Genomic DNA, 23,245 nt, shown 5'->3' on the forward strand with positions numbered 1-23,245 from the left:
AACATCATCAAGAGCGCCACCCTCACTGCCTGGGAAAAGCATCCACATGGTCCTTCTGCATCTCAACTCAAAGCCCAGCCTGGTCCTTCTGGTTGGAGGAGCCTTCATCACAACACCAAGTACTGGCTCCAAGGGGAAGAGAAAGCAGGCATGGGTTCGGGTGGTTGAAAGCCACCCCATTTGCTGGGGTTCAGCTTCTCTAGTGGGAGGTGGGTTTGTTCTCCCAAAAATACTCATAAGATGGGATATTCTGCAAATATAGGGTGGAGACTCCAATGCTGGAGAGTCAAAGGAAACCAGCCTTGGATACCTTCTGCATGCTGCAGCCATAGAGCGAGCTGATTCGGAACGACTTCAATCAGGACGGGCAAGGAAACTTAGTCTTTGGTAAGCCCAGGACAGACGGGAAATGGGGAGGCTATGAGGGCTCCCTTCCATCCTGAAATGGGCTCTCAGAAGAAGAAGGTCATGGTTGTGTATTCCCAGGAGCCAGACAGCCCTGATGCCGGAAGTCTCAGGAAGGCAGATTCCAGTCACACATGGCGACCGCTGCCTCTTACGTGCCCAGGCCGACAGCGATTGCGAGACCTCTTGCTTCTGCAGGGCTGAACGCAGAGGCTGGTCAGGAAGGTGGGAAAAGGGAATCAACATCAGATGGCGCTGGCCACAGGGGACCTCCAAGAATTCTACGAACATGTGATCTTAAAAGCTATCCTTTCTTTCTGAGAGAAGAGCAGGAAACTGAATTACAATGTGCTGGAACCCTACTCTGTGTAGACACCGTTTTGAGCAAAGTAAAGGGTTCCAGATAGTAAAAGGCATAGTCCCTATAATTGAAAAGATGACAAACACACATACCAAAAGTTGAATAATTAAAATTCTCAGGAACAGTTACAGGTAATAACTGGGTGCATGCCACAGAGCAGCTCAGGAATAGTTGCTAGGTAAGTCTTAAAGACAAAATTGCTATTTAAAGGATACTGAATTGTAGACAAACTCCCACAGACATCTTGAAAACATATTTTCCAGCATATGAGTAATTAGGACCAATTTGTAAGGTGGTGAGTTTTGCTAAATCTTGGTGACATCACTTGTTATTAATACCTTAATAAATTATTACATTTATGTTTACTTGGACCCAGTGTTGGGCTTGTTTGTTTATTTATTTTTTTTAAGACAGAGGCTCGCTCTGTCCCCAGGCTGGAGTGCAGTGGCACCATCTCAGTTCACTGCAACCTCTGCTTCCCGGGCTTAAGCGATTCTCCTGCCTCAGCCTCCCAAGTAGCTAGGACTACAGGTGTGCACCACCATGCCCAGCTAATGTTTTTGTATTTTTTGGTACAGATGGGGTTTCACCGTGTTGGCCAGGATGGTCTTGATCTCTTGACCTCGTGATCCATCCGCCTCGGCCTACCAAAGTGCTGTGATTACAGGTGTGATTCACTGCATCTGCCCTTTTTGTTTATTTTTAACCTACACTGCACAAAGGGCATATAGATTATCCAATTTGTGTATTGCAACAATAAAAACTAAGTTCTAGGTTTTCTTTTTAGCTTTTTAGGAGACATTTCCTGTGCTTAGCTGGTACTACTCACCACAGATGAGCATGCATGCACAGGGTAATATTGACCTAAGAAAATAGAATTGGGCAGCACGATTTGTTGGGAACACACAGAGACACAAGTCTAAAAATAAAGACCATTAGGTTGTGAGCTCATTTCGCATTATCTTCTCATTACTTTCTCTATCAGCACTAAATAATTTAGTTTTATAAAGTACATTGAAACTATTATACAAATATAAATCTTGTCATAAGCTACTTCCTTTATCTCTGCTTAAAGGTTTCCATTTCCAATCAGACCTCAAGTGCCTTTCCCAGAACTGCCTCTTTCACTTTATAGAGAAAGGAAAGAGCTAGAAGTGTTTTTAGAAAACAAGTGACATCATGCAGGAGCTCCCCTGAGTCACACGTGACCAGATGATGCACACAGGTGTGACACAGGCCCAAGGGGGCTGCCTGGGCACAGGAGAAAAAAGCCCCTGGCTGCTGGCTGTTGCTCTAACCCTTCTCCCCCATCCAATAAAGTCAAACGAATGCAAGTGAGCAAGGATTCCATCGAGGACATAGCAGCTTGAATCGTTTTAAGGTAAATTATTCACCAACTTTGGTGCTTCACGTTTTGCCAATAACAAATTACTTGGACTTGGAGTACTACACCAACCATGTAGAAAACACCGTGCATAGCAACACTCAACTGAGCAGAGCTGGCACAAACTGTACAATAAAATAACCCCATCGTTTTAAGTAACACAACTCCACCCACCCCCAAAAAAGATGTTGGCATTTATTTTGCACGCCGACGACATACCCAAAATTTAAGTCCCCCTCTCCTAGGAGATTTGTTGAGAAAACTCATTCTTTCTTACCAAGTAAAGTGCTGAAAAGCACTCAGTTGTGTTGGATCACGTTTTCCTAGCCAAAAACTGGGATTAATTTGCTACATGCAGTCAAAAACTGACTAAATATTTAAATTCAAGATGGTCCTGTAAATTTCAGGAGCTATAGCACAGAGGCCATGCTGCGCAGCCGAAGGCGGGGCCAAAGTGGACAATTAGGAAAGGGAAAAGTTCTGCAAAGGGGAAGAGGAACTCAAGGGGTCGTCCTATATGTGTGTTCGTATGCGTCTTGGTGCCTAGTGAGTCAGCCATTGGATGCATCCATCAGCCTTCACTTGCTATGAACTAATAACAGGCATCCCTCTCCTCATTCTCAGGTTTCACTCATCTATTTGGGTCTATTATAGCTAGATCCTCTCTTGCAGAAAATTCATATGCATCTATTCTTGGATACGTGTTTTAAACATTGGAACCACACAAAACACAACAGAACTGAACCTATTATTCTGTAGCAAAGCCAACAACCAAACAACCTTTCACCCAAGTTACCCTAGTCCTGCGAAGTAAGAGGGACTCTCACCACTTTCTCCTAGCAATTTATAAACAGAACTTTGCAAAAGCATTGCTAAGAAGTAAATATTTGGAAGGCATGTTTGGAGATAAAAATATTTCATTAATAAATATTTGGGGAATAGAAAGTGTTTCTGTAAATGATACCAAGATGAGCAATTTCTACATCAAGGGGAAAAACATTTTTAGTTAGTAATAAATGGCCACTCTATTTTAATTCTGTTTTTTTTTGTTTTGTTTTGTTTTCTTTTTTTTTTTTTTTTTGAAATCCAAACTTACTCAGCAAAGTTGAAGAAATTCCAAAATCTTAGGAAACTAAAATATCTTGCAAAAGTTGAACTTCTGTGAAGCAAAACAAGTGGATGCGGACAAATGAAAGACTGAGGAGAGTTCAAGAAGATGGAGGTATTTCTGAATGATCTCTGTAGAGAAGGTGGCCAAAGGAAACATCACACACGCACACACACACACACATACAAATGTGGTTATGTTTGTTTGTTTGTTTGTTTGTTAAGACGGGGTCTCGCTCTGTCACCCAGGCTGGAGTGCAGTGGCTCAATCTCAGCTCACCGCAACCTCCGCCTCCCAGATTCAAGGGATTCTGCTGCCTCAGCCTCCCGAGTAGCTGGGATTATAGGCTTGCGCCACCACACCTGGCTACTGGCTACTAATCGTTGCTTTGTTTGTTTGTTTGTTTGTTTTGGAGAGACGGGTTTTTTGCCATGTTGGCCAGGCTGGTCTCGAGCTCCTGACCTCAAGTGATCCACCTGCCTCGGCCTCCCAAAGTACTGGGATTACAGGCATGAGCCACCGTGCCTGATGCCCATGTTTTGTTTTATACTTTTAAAAAATGTGTTTAAATGTTTAAATGAGCAAATTATTTGGAAGTTGCCTTGTGCTTTCTGATGCTGCTTTGCGGCACATTAAGAGTCTTGACATTAGGCCATCATTCATTTCCTCTTTCATTCCGCCAACATTGATTCCGTGTCAGGCATGTGGGAGACGGCGCAGACACAAAGGCAAACAATCCCAAACACAGGCTTTGCCCTCCTTGTACGTTGAGACAAAGGAAGCAGAAATGAGCCTGGGATCACAGTCTGCGCTGAGCAGCATGGAGCAAACAGGGCGTCCCCTTCTCAGTGACAGAGGGACTTGGGCTGACCAACCGTCTTGGCTTCCCTGGGACTGTCCCAGCTCAGCACTGAAAATCTCATGCCGATGAAAACCCCCGCAGGCCTGGGCAGATGGGAACCTTGGTCACTCTTGCAGAAACTTGAGTCAGGTAAGGGTGGTAAACAGACAAATGGAAGTGGGGTATGGAGGTGGGTGACAGATTGGATCTGGGCCTGAGATGTGAATCAAGGATCATTAGCATATAGATGATCATTAACTGTGGGCGTGTGGATGAGGTCCCCTAGGGAGACAGTGTTGATTTCCTCCCTTATCATGCAGAGCAAGCAGACCTCCCCTTTCCCAGGGAGGATTTTCGCTTTGAATCCCGGCTGATGCTAATATATCCCCGCTCACTTCCTTTCTGGTTCTCATGTACCTGGTACTATATGTTTGCCTTTAATTCTTTCCCTCTGTCATCATGTCATGGGTCTGATTTGTAAGCAGCCTATTATTGGATTTTTGTTTTTAAATTCAATTTGCTTCCTTTTACTTATTGAATTAACCCATTTATACCCATCAACATTGTTTCTCTTCAGTTTTGCTTCTGTAATTGTTTCCTCTCTGCTGTGTTTGGTTTTGTTTGAGTGAGGTCTTTTTCTCCCCCTTTTATTTTCCTGTATAGACTTTCGTACTGATTTGTGAGGTAAATATTCTTTTAATCTAACAATTATTACACGAAAAAAATTGTTTTGAAACAGGGTCTGATTCTATTGCCCAGGCTGGAGTGCGGTGGCGTGATCTCAGCTCACTGCAGACTTGCCTCCCAGGCTCAGGCGATCCTCCCACCTCAGCCTTCTGAGTAGCTGGGACTGCAGGCACACATCGCCATGCCCACCTAATTTTTGTATTTTTTAGAGAGACAGGGTTTTGCTACGTTGCTCAAACTGGTCTCAAACTCCTGAGCTCAAGTGATCCTCTTGCCACGGCCACCCAAAGTGTGCTGGGATTACAGGCATGAGCCACTGTGCTTGGCCTACATGAAAATATTTTAAAATGTACTTTTTTTTTTTTTTTTTTGAGGAAGAGTCTCACTCTGTCACCCAGGCTGGAGTGCAGTGGCGTGACCTTGGCTCACTGCAGCCTCTGCCTCCTGGATTCAAGCAATTCTCCTGCCTCAGCCTCCCGAGTATCTGGGACTACAGGCACGTGCCACCATGCCTGGCTAATTTTTTGTATTTTTAGTAGAGACGGAGTTTCACCGTGTTAGCCAGGATGATCTCGATCTCCTGATCTCGTGATCCGCCCGCCTCGGCCTCCCTAAGTGTTGAGATCACAGGCGTGAGCCACCGCACCCAGCCTAAAAATGTATTCTTAAACTTAATGGAAACTAACTGTCAAAGTCAATAAGGAAAGGAGCCTTGTAATAACCTTATAAGGAAAACAGTAGATTTCGAAGTTTTCTTCCTTACCTCCCCACCCCTACCCAAATTAATCTGCATCTGTAAACATCATCATTTTCATATTTCTCTGCAAATCATTTCTTTCAACAATGACAACAAAGTACTTTTAAAAATCGTGTCTTAAAAGTTGCATGGCTTTATCTCCATATGTTCAACTCGGGTCACTGCCTGCCCTCTCCAGCCATGATTTCCTCATGTTGGAATTCTATTTTCGGTCTGATTTGTATTTCATTCTACAAATCTTTTTTTTTTTTTTTTTTTTTTTTTTTTTTTTTGAGATGGACTCTTGCTCTGTCGCACAGGCTGGAGTGCAATGGCATGATCTGGGTTCACTGCAGCCTCTGCCTCCCAGGTTCAAGCAGTTCTCCTGCCTCAGCCTCCCAAGGAGCTGGGATTACAGGCACCCGCCACCATGCCTGGCTAATTTTTGTATTTTTAGTAGAATTAGGGTTTCGTGATGTTGGCCAGGCTGGTCTCGAACTCCTGACCTGAAGTGATCCACCCGCCTCAGCCTCCCAAAGTGCTGGGATTACAGGCGTGAGCCACTGCGCCCGGCTCATTCTACAAATCTTTTGATTATTGGTTTTGCCCCGTCTCCATTCTGGACTCTCTGAAATGTTATCATCATATTTTTCAGAGCTGTCCTGGCGATAGTGTTGTCTCTCTGACCATCTACGTCTGGTTGTCCCTTTATAACACAACCATCTGTGGCCCTTCCATCTGCTCCCAAACCTCAGTTTTCCAGCCTGAGGACTGCATTCCCACTTCACTTCCTGGGCACACATCAACTTCCTGTTTCTGTGTTCTGCAGAGATGCTGAGAAAACTCGGGAGCATGGGAACCTCCTCCAAGGCTCCACCACTGCCTTGTCTGGAAGTCTCCTTCACAAATGGGAAGGGGTTGGATATCCTGGTCTTCTTCCTTCCAAACTGATTCTTTTTTTGTGTGTGTGTGACACGGAATCTCACTCTGTCACCAGGCTGTAGTGCAGTGGCCCGATCTCGGCTCACTGCAACCTCCGCCTCTTGAGTTCAAGTGATTCTCCTGCCTCAGCCTCCCAAGGAGCTGTGACTGACTACAGGTGTGCACCACCATGCCCGGCTAATTTTTTTGTATTTTTAGTAGAGACGAGGTTTCACCACGTTGGCCAGGATGGTCTCAATCTCTTGACCTTGTGATCCACCCACCTGAGCCTCCCAGAGTGCTGGGATTACAGGCGTAAGCCACTGTGCCTGGCCCCAAACTGACTCTTTACCTCCAGTGGCCGGGTTTGCCTGGAGAGCAGGTTTCCTGGTGGGGAACAGGAAGGGCTGCCTCTGTGTTGACAGCCTGACAAGTGGAGAGCAGAGGCAGCCGAGGGAAAGGCGAAGCCCAGGTCCACAGGCCAAGGTAGGGACTTCAGACAGCACAACACTGTAATAAGAGGCACCCCTGACTCTCACCAGCCTCAGTCACACTAGCAAGTGCAACATACAATGTGTGAAAATCCATACTTATGGAGGCCAGCTTTATCAGAGCCTACTTATGGGGAGAGGGGAGCAGTAGAGGGGCTGAGGCAGAGAGAGACTGACCCGGCGGTGCACCGCTGCCTCCACAGAGAGGGCACAGGCCCTGCCTGCTTCCTGCCCCCACTGCCACCTCTAGACTCTGGCGACCATCTCAGATGCTTCTGCCTCTGAAAAGGCACCTCCAGGTGCCCATTCAGACTGTGCCCTGTCATTTATCTGGCTGTTGCACCTCAAAACCAATAAACAATGATTTGGAGGGGGAAAAAAAGGAAAATATCTTGGTCTCCTTCTAGCTCCTCCCTTATCTTGATCCACTCATAGCCAGTTTCTTCTCTTTTTTAAAAATCTTAATAGCTTTGAGAGTACAAGTTGTTTCTGGTTACACGGATGAATTCTGTAGTGGTGAAGTCTGGGACTGAGAACACCCATCACTTGAGCGGTGTACACTGTACCCGATGTGTACTCTTTTGTCCCTCACCTGCCTCCCACCTGCCCCGGAGTCCACAAAGTCCATTAAATCACTCTGTATGTCTTTATGCATAACAAATTTCTTAAAAACATCCTGACCCCTAGTCACCCACTCTCACCTCCCAGTCTGCCCTCCGCCCTCTGCCCCTCTGTCATGGCTAAAGCAGCCCATGCTCTTCCTGTTGCCAAACCAACAGGGGTCCTTTGCTTTTCTCTTTTTTGCCATCCCACTCACATCTGACATGGCTGACCCATCTCTCCTACTTGAAATCTGTTCTCTCCTGGCCTTTGGAGGCTGGGCTACCTTGACTTCCCTTCTGTTTCCCCAAGGGTACCTTCTGAGTCTTCCCTTGACTCCCTCTGGACACTCACTCATTCCCTCCACAAATATTTCTGGGGCACCAACTTGTTCCCAGGGAGTGTTTAGGCCCAGTGGATATGGCAATCGCCTCTCCTCTGGAAGAACTTACATTTCAATGCAGAGCGAGGGCGGAGAGCAAGGAACAAGTGACAAATAAATGAATGCTTAAGTATGTACCACAAAGACAGGTGATGATAAACACTGGGCAGCAAAAGAAAAGGAGGCGAAGCTGATGGAGAGTAACAGTTAGGAGAGGGCTCTACCTGGATTAGGGTGATCAGAGAGGGAGGCTGCTGATCAGAGATGGAATGACACAGGAAGGTGGCCAACATGAAGTCCTGGGGAGCGTGCACTTGGCAAACAGAACAGCAAGTCCAGAGACCCTCAGGCAGGTCCCTGCTGCATGTGCTCGAGGAGCATCAGGGGAGATACAGTGAGAGAGGAACGAGTGGAGGGAGAGCATGCGCCAAGGTGTCCAGGAGTGAATGACAGTTTCCATCACTGTCCCGATGAATCTACAACGTCAGCCCACACCTCTTGGTTAAGAATCAGACCCCCATCATTAGGACATCTCTATTTGGATGTCCCAGAAATATCTCAGACTCAACATGTCCAAACCTAAGTTCTTCATTCCCCTCAGAACTGCTTCCTCTCTGGGATTCCCCATCCTGTGAAGGGAGACTTTGTCTGCTAAGTCAACTGGCCGAACGGAGGCATCGTGCTAGTCTTCTCCTTCGTTCCCTCCACACAGCCACAAACCAGACAGTGCCTGCCGTCCTCACATCGAGCATCTCTGCTTACCACACTGCCACTGCCCCCGTTCCAACCCTCATCACTTCTTGCCCCGGTTTCTGAAACAACCATTTAACTGTCCTTCATGACCCAAGTCTCATCCCCTTCTGGTCCACCTTCCACACTGCAGATAGGAGGAACTTCTGAGGAACAGATGTCCTCACGGCCCTCCTCTGCTTTTCAGTCTAGAGTATTCTGTTAACATCACTTGGAAAAGCGACCTGTCCTTCATCTGACTCTCAAGTCACATTCTCTCCAACACACACGCACAGACACATGTACTACAATCTCATCCTGGCCACCCATGCCCAGTTCTTGCAATGTCCCAGGCTATCTCACATCCCACATCTTCCCACCGACTTGCTCCTCTACCTGTGATGCCCAGAGCCCCCTCTCAGTTAGTGGATGCCCGTCATCCTTCAGAACCACCCCAACGTGGTGAATAAAGTCTGGCACAGCCATGCAATGAAACACTGTATGTCCATTAAAGAGAAGGAGGCAACACTCTGTCCTCTGCTTTGACACCATTTCCAGGATATTCTGTTTGGGCAGAAGGTAAGGTGCAGAATAGTGTTGGTGGGAGGCTAATATTTGTGTTTAAAAAAAATAGACTATTAGAAGTATAATGGCAAAGATTTTGGAATTCAGTAGAAAATTTGGAAAATAAAATGAAGCCAGTATCTAAAAAGAGCTGAGCAAATGGACACAGAGATAGGGAATACATGAGGAAAAAAATAAAGAACACAGGGTCAAACATCCAAAAAAATCAGAGTCCCAGAGAGAGAAAAAAATCAGAGTTCCAGAGACAGAAAATGGAGGGGCTCATTTTTTTTTTTTTTTTTTTTGAGACAGAGTCTCACTGTGTCACCTAGGCTGGAGTACAGTGGCGCAATCTCAGCTCACTGCAACCTCTGCCTCCTGGGTTCAAGTGATTCTTCAGCCTTAGCCTCCCAAGTAGCTGAGATTACAGGCATGCGCCACCACGCCTGGCTGATTTTTGTATTTTCAGTAGGGACAGGGTTTCACCATGTTGGCCAAGCTGGTCTCGAACTCCTGACCTCAAGTGATCCACCCCCGCTCAGCCTCCCAAAGAGCTGGGATTATAGGCATGAGCCACTGCGCCAGGCCGGGTTCAAATTATTAAAGAAAAAAATTCAGGAAAATCTCCCACAATTTAAACACAAGAAGCACGTGTGTTTCCAGATTGAAAGGCTGTTAAATTGTTCATCACAAATCACAATAGATGAAAATAGAACACAAAGTGACATCTCAAGAAATTTCACAACCCTGGGAACAGAAAGAAATTTGTAAGAACACCGAGGGAAGAAATACATATCCATCAGGTGCGCTGTGCGCATTAGAGGTGAAAAACTCTGGTCTCTCTGGATAAGTGATAAAATTATTGTTAGTGGATAATTAGTGTATTCATAACTTCCTGTGTGTTCCATTTTCTTTAGTTACCTGGGAGCTCGGTGTTAAATCTTATGCTCCGTTGCAGGCATACACCTCAGCCAAGTTTTGCTGGGATAAAAAAAAAACACAACTCCTTCCATCTTTAGTCCATATTACAAGGCTCCTAAACATTTCCTTTCTTTTTAATGGCTTTATGGACTTTGTATTATTTATCACGAACTGTCTAAATCCCCTTGGAGCACACAGGGGCATGAAAAATAAGCCTGAAGAAACAGTCTGCCTTTATCCCATTCCACCCCAGAGATGTCAGACTCTAGCCTGTGCTCGGGGCACACTGCAACCCTGGGAGCCTCTGTGTGTGGGAATAGCCCCCTCTCCTTCTGAACGGCCCTTTTTTCCCTTGGAGTTCTTGATGATCTTCCTTGGCAGTGATTCTCAAGTCTAGGGAAAGGAGAAAGGAAAACGCATCCCCTAGACTTTTTTATGTTGTCATTTATTGCCTGTTACCCCTACCTGATTTTAATTCTGTGACAGCATGTGCATTGCAATATTCCCTGTGACTCCAACAATGCCTGGCCCACAGTAGGCTCTTACACGTTTATTCAATGAACACATGGACCTGGCCTGTCAAGGGTTGAGGGGACTTCAGAGATGATCTAGTTCATCTGCTTATTTGATCCAACTGTAGAGAAGAAAAGTGACCTATTCAAGGTCACACAGGCAGCAATGGGCACACCTAGGACTGTACAGCCCTCACCTGTGGGGAAGCATCAGTAGGCACAAGAGTTGCAGGTGAAAAACATATGCTGTTAGGGAGACCTGGGTTCGAGCCTGTCATGTGCCACTTCCCAGCTATCTATCTGTGATCTTGGGCAAAGTATTTAATCACTGAGAATGAGTTTGTAAAAATGAAAATAATAGGAGGCAATGTGTGCAGCATAGTATCTGGCTCAGAAGAAGCACTCAAGAGCTATTAGTTCAATTTGACTCGGTGCTTATTGGGGAATTTGCTAACCTGGAAAGTATGCAGAGAGGTCTGAAGATGACAATCTATGCCTTTGCCTGACTCTTTCCACAGACTCGGTGCTTATTGGGGAACTTGCTAACCTGGAAAGTATGCAGAGAGATCTGAAGATGACAATCTATGCCTTTGCCTGACTCTTTCCACAGCTGCCTGAGACGCTAGACCCAAAGGCCAGGGCATCAGAGAGTACCCCAGCCCAGGCAGGGTGGTCCACCTGCAAGGTGCGGAGCAGAATAAATGTCAGGAAGAACTTCCCATGTAAACAACTGATAAAGAATTGGAATCCAAAGGTGGCATTTGGAACAACTGCATAAACAGAGACAATTGCCAGGCCTGGGAGTCCTCCCCTGAGAGATACGGGTGGCCGGTTCTTGTGAAGATGAAATAGATCAGGTTTATACAGGACTAAGAAGCAGCCCAGAAACCAGTGTCCCATTGCCTAGATTCCATACCCTGCCTCTATGAGGAGAAGGAACTAGAAATTGACATCAGAAACAGACGTAGGAGGGCTGGTGGGAGGGCGGTGGTGCTTTTAGCCTGCAGCATAGAATTAGACATTTTTAATATGTGACAGTTTTTGAGACCCAGTCCTTTAGTTGCTGTCTAAAAGAACTTCTCACATATTAGACTCCAGAAATAGACGAGTTCCTTCCTGCCCTCATCTATGATAATTTAGATTCGGATGCTCAGAGGAGAAAATCAGGAAGCCCCCTCCCTGTTCTTTCCAAGTGTGTGTAGACAGTGAGCCTGTGAGATTACTGCCCCCACAGTGGCCCTCTCTGACCATGCCCGTTACCTGGGGAGGGAGCAGAGCCACCTGCCCTCCACTCTCTGCCCTCCCAGAACCCCTAGGGAGACAGGCTGATACACAAAACTACCAGCTCAAGGGGAGGTCCTTAGGGAGAGATCACCCCAAAGCTGAGCCCGCAGCGGGCCCTCGCCCTACACAGCCTCTCTTCAGTGACAGCTCCAAGTGCTGCCCTGCTCTGCACTGACCAGAGGCGCAGGGCACCTGGCAGCCTCCAAATTCCTCTCCAGGGCCAGTACCTGCTTTCAGGCCAGCATGCCGCTGGGGAAGAATGAACTGTGAGGTCCAGGCTCAGATGTCTTAGAGTCCCAGCAAGCGTGAGCTCTCTTCATCACCTACTGGGCTGCAGAAATGGGGCCCCGCACAAAACAAGCACCCCACCAGGGCACTTCTTGTTTTCTTTTTTTCTTTTTCAAACTATCTCTCAAAAGCACCTGATGCACAAGCAAGCATAAAGAAGCAAATCATTTCCCTCCTCTGCCCTTTATAACCAAAACAAAATGGAAATAAGAAATGGACATGGCTTCTTTGCAGCTTCTCTCCCGCATGCTTCCAGCAAAAGCCCCGGGTTTCTGTCCCCTTGGCCTGACCTGGCTCAGGTGTCTGCCCCTGAGGTTTGGAGGTTCCGATTGGCTGGTCCTGGAGTCAGGAGCTGTGGGTGCCACCAGAAGCACACATCTGAGTGTGACTCCCTAAAGGAAGATGGGGGTACAGTTCATGAACAAGGTGGTAGAGTGGCAGGCAGGCAACCCAAAATGCACCAGAGGCCAGGAATACAAAGGTTTGCTATTGACTTTCCAGATGTTAAGAGCCACATGTTCACCAGACCTTTACCTCTCCCCAGTGAGAAATGTGCTATCTAAACAGCAATCTCAAATCTGTGCTTCTCTCTGGCCCTCAAAAGGTCAACGAGAACAGAAATGTGGCTAAGGTAGCTAAGCGGTAAAGCTCCTTATAATGCAGGAGAAAAGGGGGAAGGAAAGAAGAGAGGGAGGGAGAGGAGAGGAGGGTGGAGGAGAGAAAGAAAAAAGAAGAGGGAGAGTGGGAGACAGGGAGGAAGACGGAGGGAAGAAGAGAGAATGCCTTCTCTAACATCTTACACACAGAGAGAAAAGTCCACCCACCAGTAGACACAACAGCAAAAGAGAAGAAAAATTTGCAGGTTTTGCTATGGAATCTGTGTCCACATCCCCCTCACTTTCTTGAAAACAGCAATTTTTTTCTGATTATATCAAATTATCATTTTTATTATAAATTAACAAGCTATAGTTGTATATACTTATGGGATACAAAGTGATACTTTGATTCATGAATACAATGTGAAGTCATTAGATCAAGCCAACAAATACATCCATCACCTCAAATATTCATCAGTTTTTAGGGTGAGAACACTTAAAATTTACTCTATTAGCAATTTTGAAACATACAATACACTATTATTTACTATATTTACCATGCTATGCAACAGATTTCAAAGAAAAAAACTACTATTCCTCCTGTCTAACTGAGGCTTTGTACCCTTTGACTGTCATCTCCTCATGCTCCCAACCCCCAGCCTCTGTTACCGCCATTCTACTCTTCATTTCAATGAGTTTGACTGTTTTAGATTTCCCATATAAGTAAGAACATGTGGTATTTGTCTTTCTGTGCCTGGGCATAATGTTTTTCTCTTCCATCTACGTTACTGAAAATTACAAAATTTCTTTCTTTTTAAAGGCTGAATAGTATTCTACCGTGTATATATACAACATTATCTTTCTCCATTCATCTGTTGATGGACACTTAGGTTGATTTCATATTTTGGCTATTGTGGATAGTGCTGCAATGAACATGGAAGTGCAAATTTCTCTTCAACATACTTATTTCAAATCTTTTGGGTAAATACCCAGAAGTGGGATTGCTGGATCATACGGTAATTCTACTTTTAGTTTTTAGAGGAACTTCCATACTCTCTTCCATAATGGCTGTACTAATTGACATTCCCACCAACAGCCTACAAGGGTTCCCCTTTCTCCACACCCTCACCAACACTGCTACATTTTGTCATTTTGATAATAGCCATTCTGACAGGTGTGAGTTGATGTCTCATTGTGGTTTTAATTTGCACTTTCCTAATGATTAATGATGTTGAACATTTTTTCATATATCTGTGGGCCATTTATATGTCTTCTTTTGGGAAATATCTATTCAGGTCTCTTGCTATTTTAAAATCAGATTTTTTTTTTTCTCCTAATAGAGTTGTTTGAGTACCTTATATATTTTGGATATTAACCCCTTATTAGATATATGGCTTGCAAATATTTCCTCCCAATCTGTGGGATGCCTTTTCATTGTTAATTGTTTCCTTTATCGTACAGAAGCTTTTTTAGTTTGATGTAATCCCCTTCGTTTATTTGTGCTTTTCTTACCTGTACTTTTGGAATCAAATCTAAAAACATCATTATGTAGACTAATGTAATTTTTCCCCAATATTCTCCTTCAGTAGTTTTATAGTCTCAAGTCTTGAGACATGGCTATTTTTTTTAATATTTTATGTTTAAATATTTAATCCATTTTGAGTTGATTTTTGTATATGGGGTGAGATAAGGATCCAATTTTATTCTTCTGCATATGAATGTCCAATTTTCCCAGTACCATTTAGTGAACAGACTGTCCTTTTCCCATTGTCTATTCTTAGCACCTTTGTCAAAAACCTATTGACTGTACAGATGTGCATTCATTTTTGGGCTCTCTATTCTGTTCCATTGGTTAATGTGTCTATTTTTATGTCTGTGTCATGCTGTTTTAATTACTATCACTTTGTAGTATAGTTTGAATTCAAGTAGTGTCATGCCTCCAGCTTTGCTCTTTTTGTGTGTGATTTCCTTGGCTATTTGGATTTCTTTTGTGGTTTTGTATGAATTTTAGGATCATTGTTTCTATTTTATGTAAAATTACATTGGAGATTTTATAGAGATTTCATTAATTCTGTAGATTGTTTTGGGTAGCACAGATACTTTAACAATATTACTTCTTCCAATCTGTGAACATAGGATATCTTTCTGTTTATGTGTGTTTTCTTCAATTTCTTTCATCAACATTTTATGGTTTTCAGTATACAGGTTTTCACCTACTTGGCTACATTTATTCTTAAGTTGTTTTTGTTTTTGAAGCCATTGTAAATGAGATTGCTCTTTTAATTTGTTTTTTGGAAAGTCTGCAGTGTCAACAAATCAATGGAAACTACTGATTTTTATGTGTTGCTTTTGTAATCCTCAACTTTACGTATTAATTTCTAAGTCCTAACAGTTTTTTGGTGAAATCTTTAAGGTTTCCTCTGTATGGGATAACAGACAGCAACAATTTCACTTCTTCCTTTCCCATTTGGATGCTTTTTATTTCTTTCTCTTGCCTAATTGCAAGGACTTCCAACATGATGTTAAATAGAAGTGGTGAGAGTAGGTTTCCTTGTCTTGTTCTGAATTTTAGAGGAAAGGGTTTCAGTTTTTCACCATTGAGTACAAGGCTAACTGTGTGCTTACCATATATATATGTTCTTTATTGTGTTGAGGTACATTCCTTCTATACCTAATTTGTTGAGAGTTTTTATCATGAAAGGATGTCAAGTTTTGTCAAATGCTTTTTCTGTGTCTGATGAGATGATCACAGGGTTTTTGTCCCTCATTCTGTTAATGTGGTGTATTGCATTTGTAGATTTACATTTGTTGAACCATCCTCCTATCCTGTGATAAATCCCACTTAATCATGGTGAATGATCCTTTTAATGTGTTGCTGAATTCAGCTTGCTAGTATTTTTTTGAGGATTTTTGTATCTATGTTCAACAGGGATCCTGGCCTGTAGTTTTACTTACCTATTTATGTATTGATTTATTTTTTGTAGTGTCTTTTTCTGGTTTTGGTGTCAGAGTAATGCTGGCCTCATAAAAAGAGTTTGAAGTATTTCCTCCTCTTTAATTTTTGGAAGAGTTTGTGAAAGATTGGTATTAGTTATTCTTTAAATGTTTGGTAAAATTCAGCAGTGAAACCATGAGGTTTCTTAGGATCCTTTATATTTCTGTAGTATCACGTTGTATTATTTCCTCTTGTATTTCTGACTTTATTTATTTGTCCTCTCGTTTTTTCTTAGTTTAGCTAAAGGTCTGTCAGTTTTGTTTATCTTTTCTTTTTCTTTCTTTATTTTTTTTTTTATTTTTTGAGACAGAGTCGTGCTCTGTCACCCAAGCTGGAGAGCAGTGATGAGATCTTGGCTCACTGCAACCTCCACCTCCTAGGTTCAAGCAATTCTCATGCCTCAGCCTCCCGAGTATCTGGGACTACAGGTACACGCCACCACACCTGGCTAATTTTTGTATTTTCAGTAGAGACAGGGTTTTACTATGTTGGCCAGGCTGGTCTCGAACTCCTGGCCTCAAGTGATTCACCTCCCCTTGGCCTCCTTAAGTGCTAAGATTATAGGCATAAGCCACCATACCTGGCCATTTATCTTTTCAAAAAACCAACTCTTGGTTTTATTAATCTTTTGTATTTTTTTTTTAGTCTCTTTCATTTATTTCTCCTCTGATCTTTATTATTTTTTTCCTTCTACTAACAATGGGCTTAGTTTATTCTTCTTTCTGTATTTCCTTGAGGCATGATGTTAAGTTGTTTGAGATCTTTCTCCTTTTTTGATGTAAATGGAAAACACCAATTTAAATCCCTATTTAAATCCAATTGATATCCATGTTGACATGACTAGTAGTTACTGATTTTTTTTTATTTATTTATTTATTTATTTATTTATTTTTGACAGGGTCTTGCTCTGTTGCCCAGCCTGGAGTGTAGTGGTGCCGTCTCGGCTCACTGCAACCTCCGCCTCCAGGATTCAAGCAATTCTCCTGCCTCAGTCTCCCGAGTAGCTGGGATTACAGGCGCTCGCCACCACACCCATCTAATTTTTGCATTTTTTAGTAGAGACAGGGTTTCGCCATGTTGGCTAGGTCTGTCTCAAGCTCCTGACCTCATGTGATCCGCCCGCCTCGGCCTCCCAGAATGCTGGGATTACAGGCATGAGCCACCGCGCCCATCCCTGATTTTTTTTTTTTTTTTTTTTTTTTTTTAAGAAATAAAGCAACTTCTCCCAGGCCATGTGGAAAAGCCATGTGTGAACCAGAGGAACAAGTGTGAGTAAATCTCAGCCCTCTGGGCAGAATGTTCTGCTGTTCGTGCTATTTCTTAATCACAAGACTGGCTGTGGATTGCAAACCTGTCACCTCTTTTTTACATTCCCAAACTCACCAAAATGCCTTTGTTAAATTTTCATAGTTTGACATTGAAATATTAACGTGCAGACAACTGGCCTTGTACAGTTTTGATTCTATGCTTTGCAGGACTTTCTGGGATTTGAGGTAACCTGCATGTCTGGCCTGGTGTTCCTTGGCCTCGCAGAAATATCCCACTCTCCTTGCCAGACACAGAAAGCCCTTTGCTCCTTCCCTGGAACTTCCTCAAACCTCCAAACTTTGCACTTGCAGATTCTGCCTGGGATGTCTGTCCCCTAGTTCTGTTTCTCTTTTTTTTTTTCTGAGACGGAGTCTCGCTCTGTCGCCCAGGCTGGAGTACAGTGGTGCGATCTTGGTTCACTGCAACCTCTGCCTCCCCAGTTCAAGCAATTCTCCTGCCTCAGCCTCCCAAGTAGCTGGGATTACAGGCACACGCCACCACAGCCAGCTAATTTTTGTATTTTTAGTAGAGACAGGGCTTCACCATGTTGGCCAGGCTGGTCCCAAACTCCTGACCTCAAGTGATCTGCCCGCTCGGCCTCCCAAAGTGCTGGGATTACAGGCGTGAGCCACGGCGCCCGGCCCCCCAGCTCTGTTTCTAAGCCTACTAACAAATCGTATTCACCCTTCATCATCCATCCCTGAGGATACCCATGCCCACCTACATCCAGGATGGGTCCAGGTGGCCTTCCTCTGTGTACCCTGACACTTATCCAACTATCGTTCTATAGACTAACTATATAGAATGATAGCAACTGTGTACTCCTTAAGTAGAAGAATCTAGAACATACCTATCTTCCTATCCTCAGCTCCTAGCACACTGCCTGACACACAGTAAGCATTCCACACATATTTGTTGAATGGATAAGTGAGTAAATGAGCAAGGTAATGAATATTTGTTTAGAAGTATTTCTGGAAGTTTCCTTAAAGCCACAGAACTCTTTTCAGCAGATCATTTTGTCTCTGCATCCCTTCTGGATTCTGTATGCTCCTGGGATGCCTGGGTTATGTCCCACTGCATATGAATTTTTTTTTTCTTGAGACAGATTCTTGCTCTGTCGCCCAGGTTGGAGTGCAGTGGTTCGATCTCGGGTCACTGCAACCTCCGCCTCCTAGGTTCAAGCGATTCTTCTGCCTCAGCCTCCTGAGTAGCTATAACTACAGGCATGTGATACCACACCTGCTATTTTTTTTTTTTTTTTTTTAAGTAGAGATGAGGTTTCACTATGTTGGCCAGACTGGTCTCAAACTCCTGACCTCAGATGATCCACCCACATTGGCCTCCCAAAGTGCTGGGATTACAGGCGTGAGCCGCAGTGCCCAGGCCCAGTGCATATACATTTATTAAGGACAGTCAGCCATGTGGTGGGGCTCCCTGTCACAGCTTTTTAGAACTGGAAGGATAGAGGCTTCTCAGAATGGCAAACAGATCACCCAACATTTTCTGGCAAAACCGAAGTCTTGCTCTCTCTTATAGCTAGTGTCTCACTGAATTCTTGGCAAAGTAACGTTCTCCAAGCTGCTGGGGAAGTTACAGAGGATGGGCAGCATCTAGATGCCCCATGAGCCCCCATTTCCCAACACGGTCCCCTTGGAATCTCTCTCTTTCCCTCTTTCCATTCACTTCATTCTTTTCTCTCCAGCCTCACTGGTGTCATTTCAGTTCCCTGAGGGTGTGAAGCGCTTTCAAGCCTCAGGGTCTTTGCACATGCTGTTCCCTCTGCCCAGCACGCCCCTCTCCACTCCTTTCCCTTCGGGTCCAATGTCACCTCCCCTAGGGCCTTCTCCAGCCCTCCCACATAAAGCAGGTCTCACCTCATCCTAGTTCACAGCCCACTGTGCTTTCTTTTAGGATGCTTATCACCACCTGTAGGCTTTGTGGTTCCCCTTCTGCCTGGGTCCACTCTGGAATCTCAGCTGCCTCTGTCTCACCAGGGCTCTCACTCCCTGGGGCCACGCTCGGGGCTGGCATGCAGCAGATGTCCAATAAGTATTTCTTGAACAAATGAATGTCATTCTGTAGGCTTGTGAATCATGTAAGCAGCATTTTCTCCCTCAACTTAAATCCACTGTATTAGGCTGTTCTTGTGTTGCTATAAAGGAATACCTGAGACTGGGTAATTTATACAGAAAAGAGATATATTTGGCTCACAGTTCTGTGGGCTGTACAAGCATGGCTCTGGCATCTGCTCAGTTTCTGATGAGGCCTCAGGGAGCTTTTACTTATGGTGGAAAGCGAAGTGGGAGCAAGAGAAAGAGGGGGAGGTGCCACATACTTTCAAAGGCCAGATCTCCCCAGTACTCAGTCACTATTGGGGGGACAGCACCAAGCCATGAGGGGTCTGTCACCATGACCCAGACACCTCCCACCAGGTCCCACCTCCAACATTGGGAGTCATATTTCAACATGAGATTTTGAAGGAACAAATATCCAAATTTTATCACCAACAGAGGGTATGTATCTAGGCTTGCATTTTGATAACAGGTCCTCTCTCTGCATTCTGAGTCAGAGGCAACTAATTTAAAAATCCATTCACCCACATTGACGATTAAATTTCTACTCTTACAGATTCCATTTGAAAAATATCCTATGCCTTGTGCTCTTCTTTGCCCTTTAGCTGTGTTTTGTACATTTGTATTCTATTTTCCCTGTGACATGGGCATTTTGATCATTAATGATTTCACTTCACCAGAAGAACATTATTCTTTTTATTTCATTGCTGAGAATGTTTTTGTCCATAGAGAGATATTTTCATTATGGGCCACATGCAATTTCTGAGTAGTTATTTCCTAATATGAAGTGTATTTTATAGGTGGTCAGAATGTTATAACATATTAGAGAGCTTATGTAGAGTTTGGGATAGTGTATATTACTTGGGAGTTATTCTTGCCCGGGCTGCTTTTTCTGGGAGTGTTGTATCTATTCTGAGAAGTCCTTGGAATGAATTGGTGGTGCTTGGTGTGATTGAACTGTTGCTGGTGTTAGTAACAGATGCAGCACATTGACTGTCAAACCTACCCCAATCTTTCCCTGCTCATCTGTGTGCATCTTACTTTCCTAGACAACAGAGCCGCTGAGTACACCCCAACACAGAGGAGCCAGCGCTCACCGAGAGATTTGCCAAGTGGAGTCCTTTTGAGACATCCAAATTTCACTGTCTTCAACTTATTAATGTGAAACAAAGAATAACGTATATGTGTGTGTAAACACGAATAGTAACAGCTTATATTTGTAAACAATGTGCCGTGCGCCCAGCACTACATTAAGCAGTCTCCATGCAGCACCTCCATTAATCCTGGGGAGCACTGTACCCACTTCAAGGTGAGAACACTGGTACTGAGTGGCCCTGCTTTATGTCACCCAGCAGGTGAGTGGTGGGTCTGGCATTCAAAGCTGGGCAGCCTGATTTTAGAACCTACCACACTGTCTTTATACATAGATGCATGTCCACGTATATATACCCACACACATCACGCACATATGTATCATCTACACATGCACGCACCCAACGCGTGCAAACGCTTGGGGAAAACCTCTGGTAGAGTATAATTCACTGTGAACTATGGAATCTGGGAAAGGGTAGGAACTTAGGATCGATGCTTACTTTTTACTCTACACATTTCTCTAATCATTTTAATCCTTTGAAACAAATGTGTTATCTCTGTACTAAAAAAAAATAAAAACCCAAGTTATTGATTTTGCTGTATGTGTTCCCACTGGAAAGGCTTATTGAATAATTGAATGTTATGAATGAATAGCTCATTTTTTTTTCTTTTGATCCAGAGGCCTTTAGAAGAGCAAGTAACAAAAACTGGTGGAAAAAAAGCACACATTCAACAGGAAGCAACATCTAGAGACCTTTCTGCCTTCCAGGATACAAAAAGAAAACAGTTCATAAACAACTTACATCTAAACCAGTAATGTTGTCTCCCTGGCTCATAGGAGCTGAAGAAGAATTCCAGTTACTGTAGTAAGAATATAAGGTAATGTGTTCTTGTTTTTTTTTTCTTTTTTTTTTTAACCACTTTGTTTAAACATTCTGACCTCTGTTAATTCCTCTCTAGGATGTGGACTGGTTTGAGGATGCTTGAGGCATGACTATAGCAAGTACTGCGCATACATATGTGGACATCGTAAGACACACTCTCTGCTTCCCCAGGCGAAATCTGTAATGCTTTGTTTATTCATGTTCTATTCTGCGTTTCCATGGCACTTTGTTCTTTGTGGTTTTTAGGGTATCTTTCTCCCTCTCTGCTCAGTGAACTGAGCTGCCTGGACAGGCCTTGAGTTTTCTTATTCGATTGTTTTTTGTGTGTGTATGTTTTGCCTTAGCTCCCTCACTAGTATAGTCAAGGAGCTTTTCATGCTTTGAGCCATTTGTGGCATTTCAGGAATTACCTTCATAGCTTTTGTCCATTTTCTACTGGCTTGTCTTTTTCAATGTTTTTATAGGCATTTTTTAAAAAACACAGTGTGGATGTCATTTGGGATAGCAGTACTAATAGTAGCTAAAACTTACTGAAAGCTACTGTGTGCCAGGCAGTCTGCTGAGCACTTTACATGCTGCCTTTCATTTTTACACTCATTTAGGAAACTGAGTCACAGAGAGGCGAGATAACTTGCCAGAGATTCAAGCACACTCCAGACACATCCCTACACCAATCAGACCTCCTAGCCACCCAGAAACTCTCCTCTGCTCGGAGGCTTCTCTGCTTCCTCCACCTGCCCCTTCGCCTCACTGCCTCCTTTCAAAATCTGCGGCATGTATTTTAGGGATACTCGTATCCATTTTCAGGAATTCCATGATCTACACACAGATGACACCAAAATCGGAACAGCAATGTCCACCCTTCTCCCGAGCCCTAGGTCGGTGCCTCTGTCCACCTGTGTCTCCTGAAACTTCAACACAGACTTCAAATGGAGTGGCAGAAAACCAGATTCCTTAGGGAAAGGAAGGTCTCCCAGACGGCAGGAGCGGCAGGCCTTAGGGGCAGCCGCAGGGGCTCGGGAGTCTGAACATACCCGGTTTGAATTCAGACTCTGGCACGCCCCATGCGATCATAACATAGTGCTGCACGTCTCAAGCCACCTATAAAAACGGGGACAATAACAATATCTGCCTCGGGGTTAATGGTGAGGACTGACTGTGTGTGTCTCGCTCAGGACCAGGAGCAACAAATGTTGGCTTCTTCCCCGGCAAAGACCCGCGCTTTCTCCTGGGCTCCGGGTTCCCGGGGTGGGGGTGGGCGCAGTCCCGAGGGCCCCAGGCAGTGGCGCAGTGGTTAGACCCCAGCCTCTGGAGTCGGCCTCGGTTCAGATTCTGGTTCTACCCTTCTCCTCTGTGGCGAACCAACCCTCCGAGCTCTAGTTTACTCGTGTGAAATGGACTAGCCAAAATTGGGATTTTTTTTTTTTTTTAGGATTAGATGTGTCGGTCCATAGACGTTGCTGGCCACATAGTTAAGTGGTGCGTTCACTCACTGGGCATTGATGGAGCGCCTACTACGTGCCAGGCCTGTTTTACGCGCCGGGGGCCCAGAGGCGCCCAGGTCAGACAAAGTGTAAACGATTCCGACCAGAGCCCTTCAATCTGCATTCCGCTTCGCAGGAAACTCTCCTCCTTTTATGATTTTCAGCCGGACTGCCTTCCCTGTTGTTAGTTTGTAACTTTCGCTCCGGCCCCCGCAGCCTCGCGCCTGCCTTCCCTCCACTGTCCTCAGCCAAGGTGTAGTAAAGCGTCTCCGAACGCGGCGCGACCCTCGCCCACGCCCGCTCGCGGGGGGACCGCACCGCCCCAGGGGTCCTCGCTAGGGGTTCCCGGAGAAGGGGTGGGAGATGGGGGTGCGGGGGGGCACAGGAGCGCGGGCCAGCACCCAGACCTGCTCGGTACCGGGGACCCAGACCCGAGGATGCCGGGCGGCCAAGGCCCCGCTACCCTGGCCGGCTCCGGGCGGAGGAAGAAGAGGAGGCGCCCAGACTGGATACCCGCCTGGACCCGGAGCCGCGGCACCACCCCCAGCCCGCCCCACGCTCGCCAGCCTCAGACGGCCGCGCCCCGCCCCGCCCCTCTCC

General features: G+C 44.9%; 1 long non-coding RNA gene across 5 annotated transcripts, besides 2 other annotated features; it reads left to right on the forward strand.

Annotated features, from left to right (window-relative positions):
• Positions 3,600-4,145: an enhancer, noted in NCBI's record as "NANOG-H3K27ac-H3K4me1 hESC enhancer chr2:235840873-235841418 (GRCh37/hg19 assembly coordinates)". NCBI's record gives its function as "activates a minimal SCP1, AML or CMV promoter by ChIP-STARR-seq in primed H9 embryonic stem cells {active_cell/tissue: H9 hESC(primed)}" and the evidence as "EXISTENCE:reporter gene assay evidence [ECO:0000049][PMID:30033119]".
• LOC105373938 (uncharacterized) lies at positions 4,060-23,170 on the forward strand. Of its 5 annotated transcripts, none has more exons than XR_007088131.1 (7): positions 4,060-4,249; positions 17,014-17,073; positions 20,235-20,494; positions 20,957-21,156; positions 21,238-21,341; positions 21,969-22,722; positions 22,810-23,170. It is a non-coding gene; the product is annotated as an uncharacterized LOC105373938 (long non-coding RNA). The 5 variants fall into 5 exon arrangements; XR_007088132.1 differs by having other exon boundaries at positions 21,238-21,306; XR_007088129.1 differs by having other exon boundaries at positions 21,238-22,306; positions 22,594-22,722; positions 22,810-22,951.
• Positions 6,331-6,831: an enhancer, noted in NCBI's record as "H3K4me1 hESC enhancer chr2:235843604-235844104 (GRCh37/hg19 assembly coordinates)". NCBI's record gives its function as "activates a minimal SCP1, AML or CMV promoter by ChIP-STARR-seq in naive H9 embryonic stem cells {active_cell/tissue: H9 hESC(naive)}" and the evidence as "EXISTENCE:reporter gene assay evidence [ECO:0000049][PMID:30033119]".

Source organism: Homo sapiens, chromosome 2 (assembly GCF_000001405.40).
Source record: "Homo sapiens chromosome 2, GRCh38.p14 Primary Assembly".
Lineage (NCBI taxonomy): Eukaryota > Metazoa > Chordata > Mammalia > Primates > Hominidae > Homo > Homo sapiens.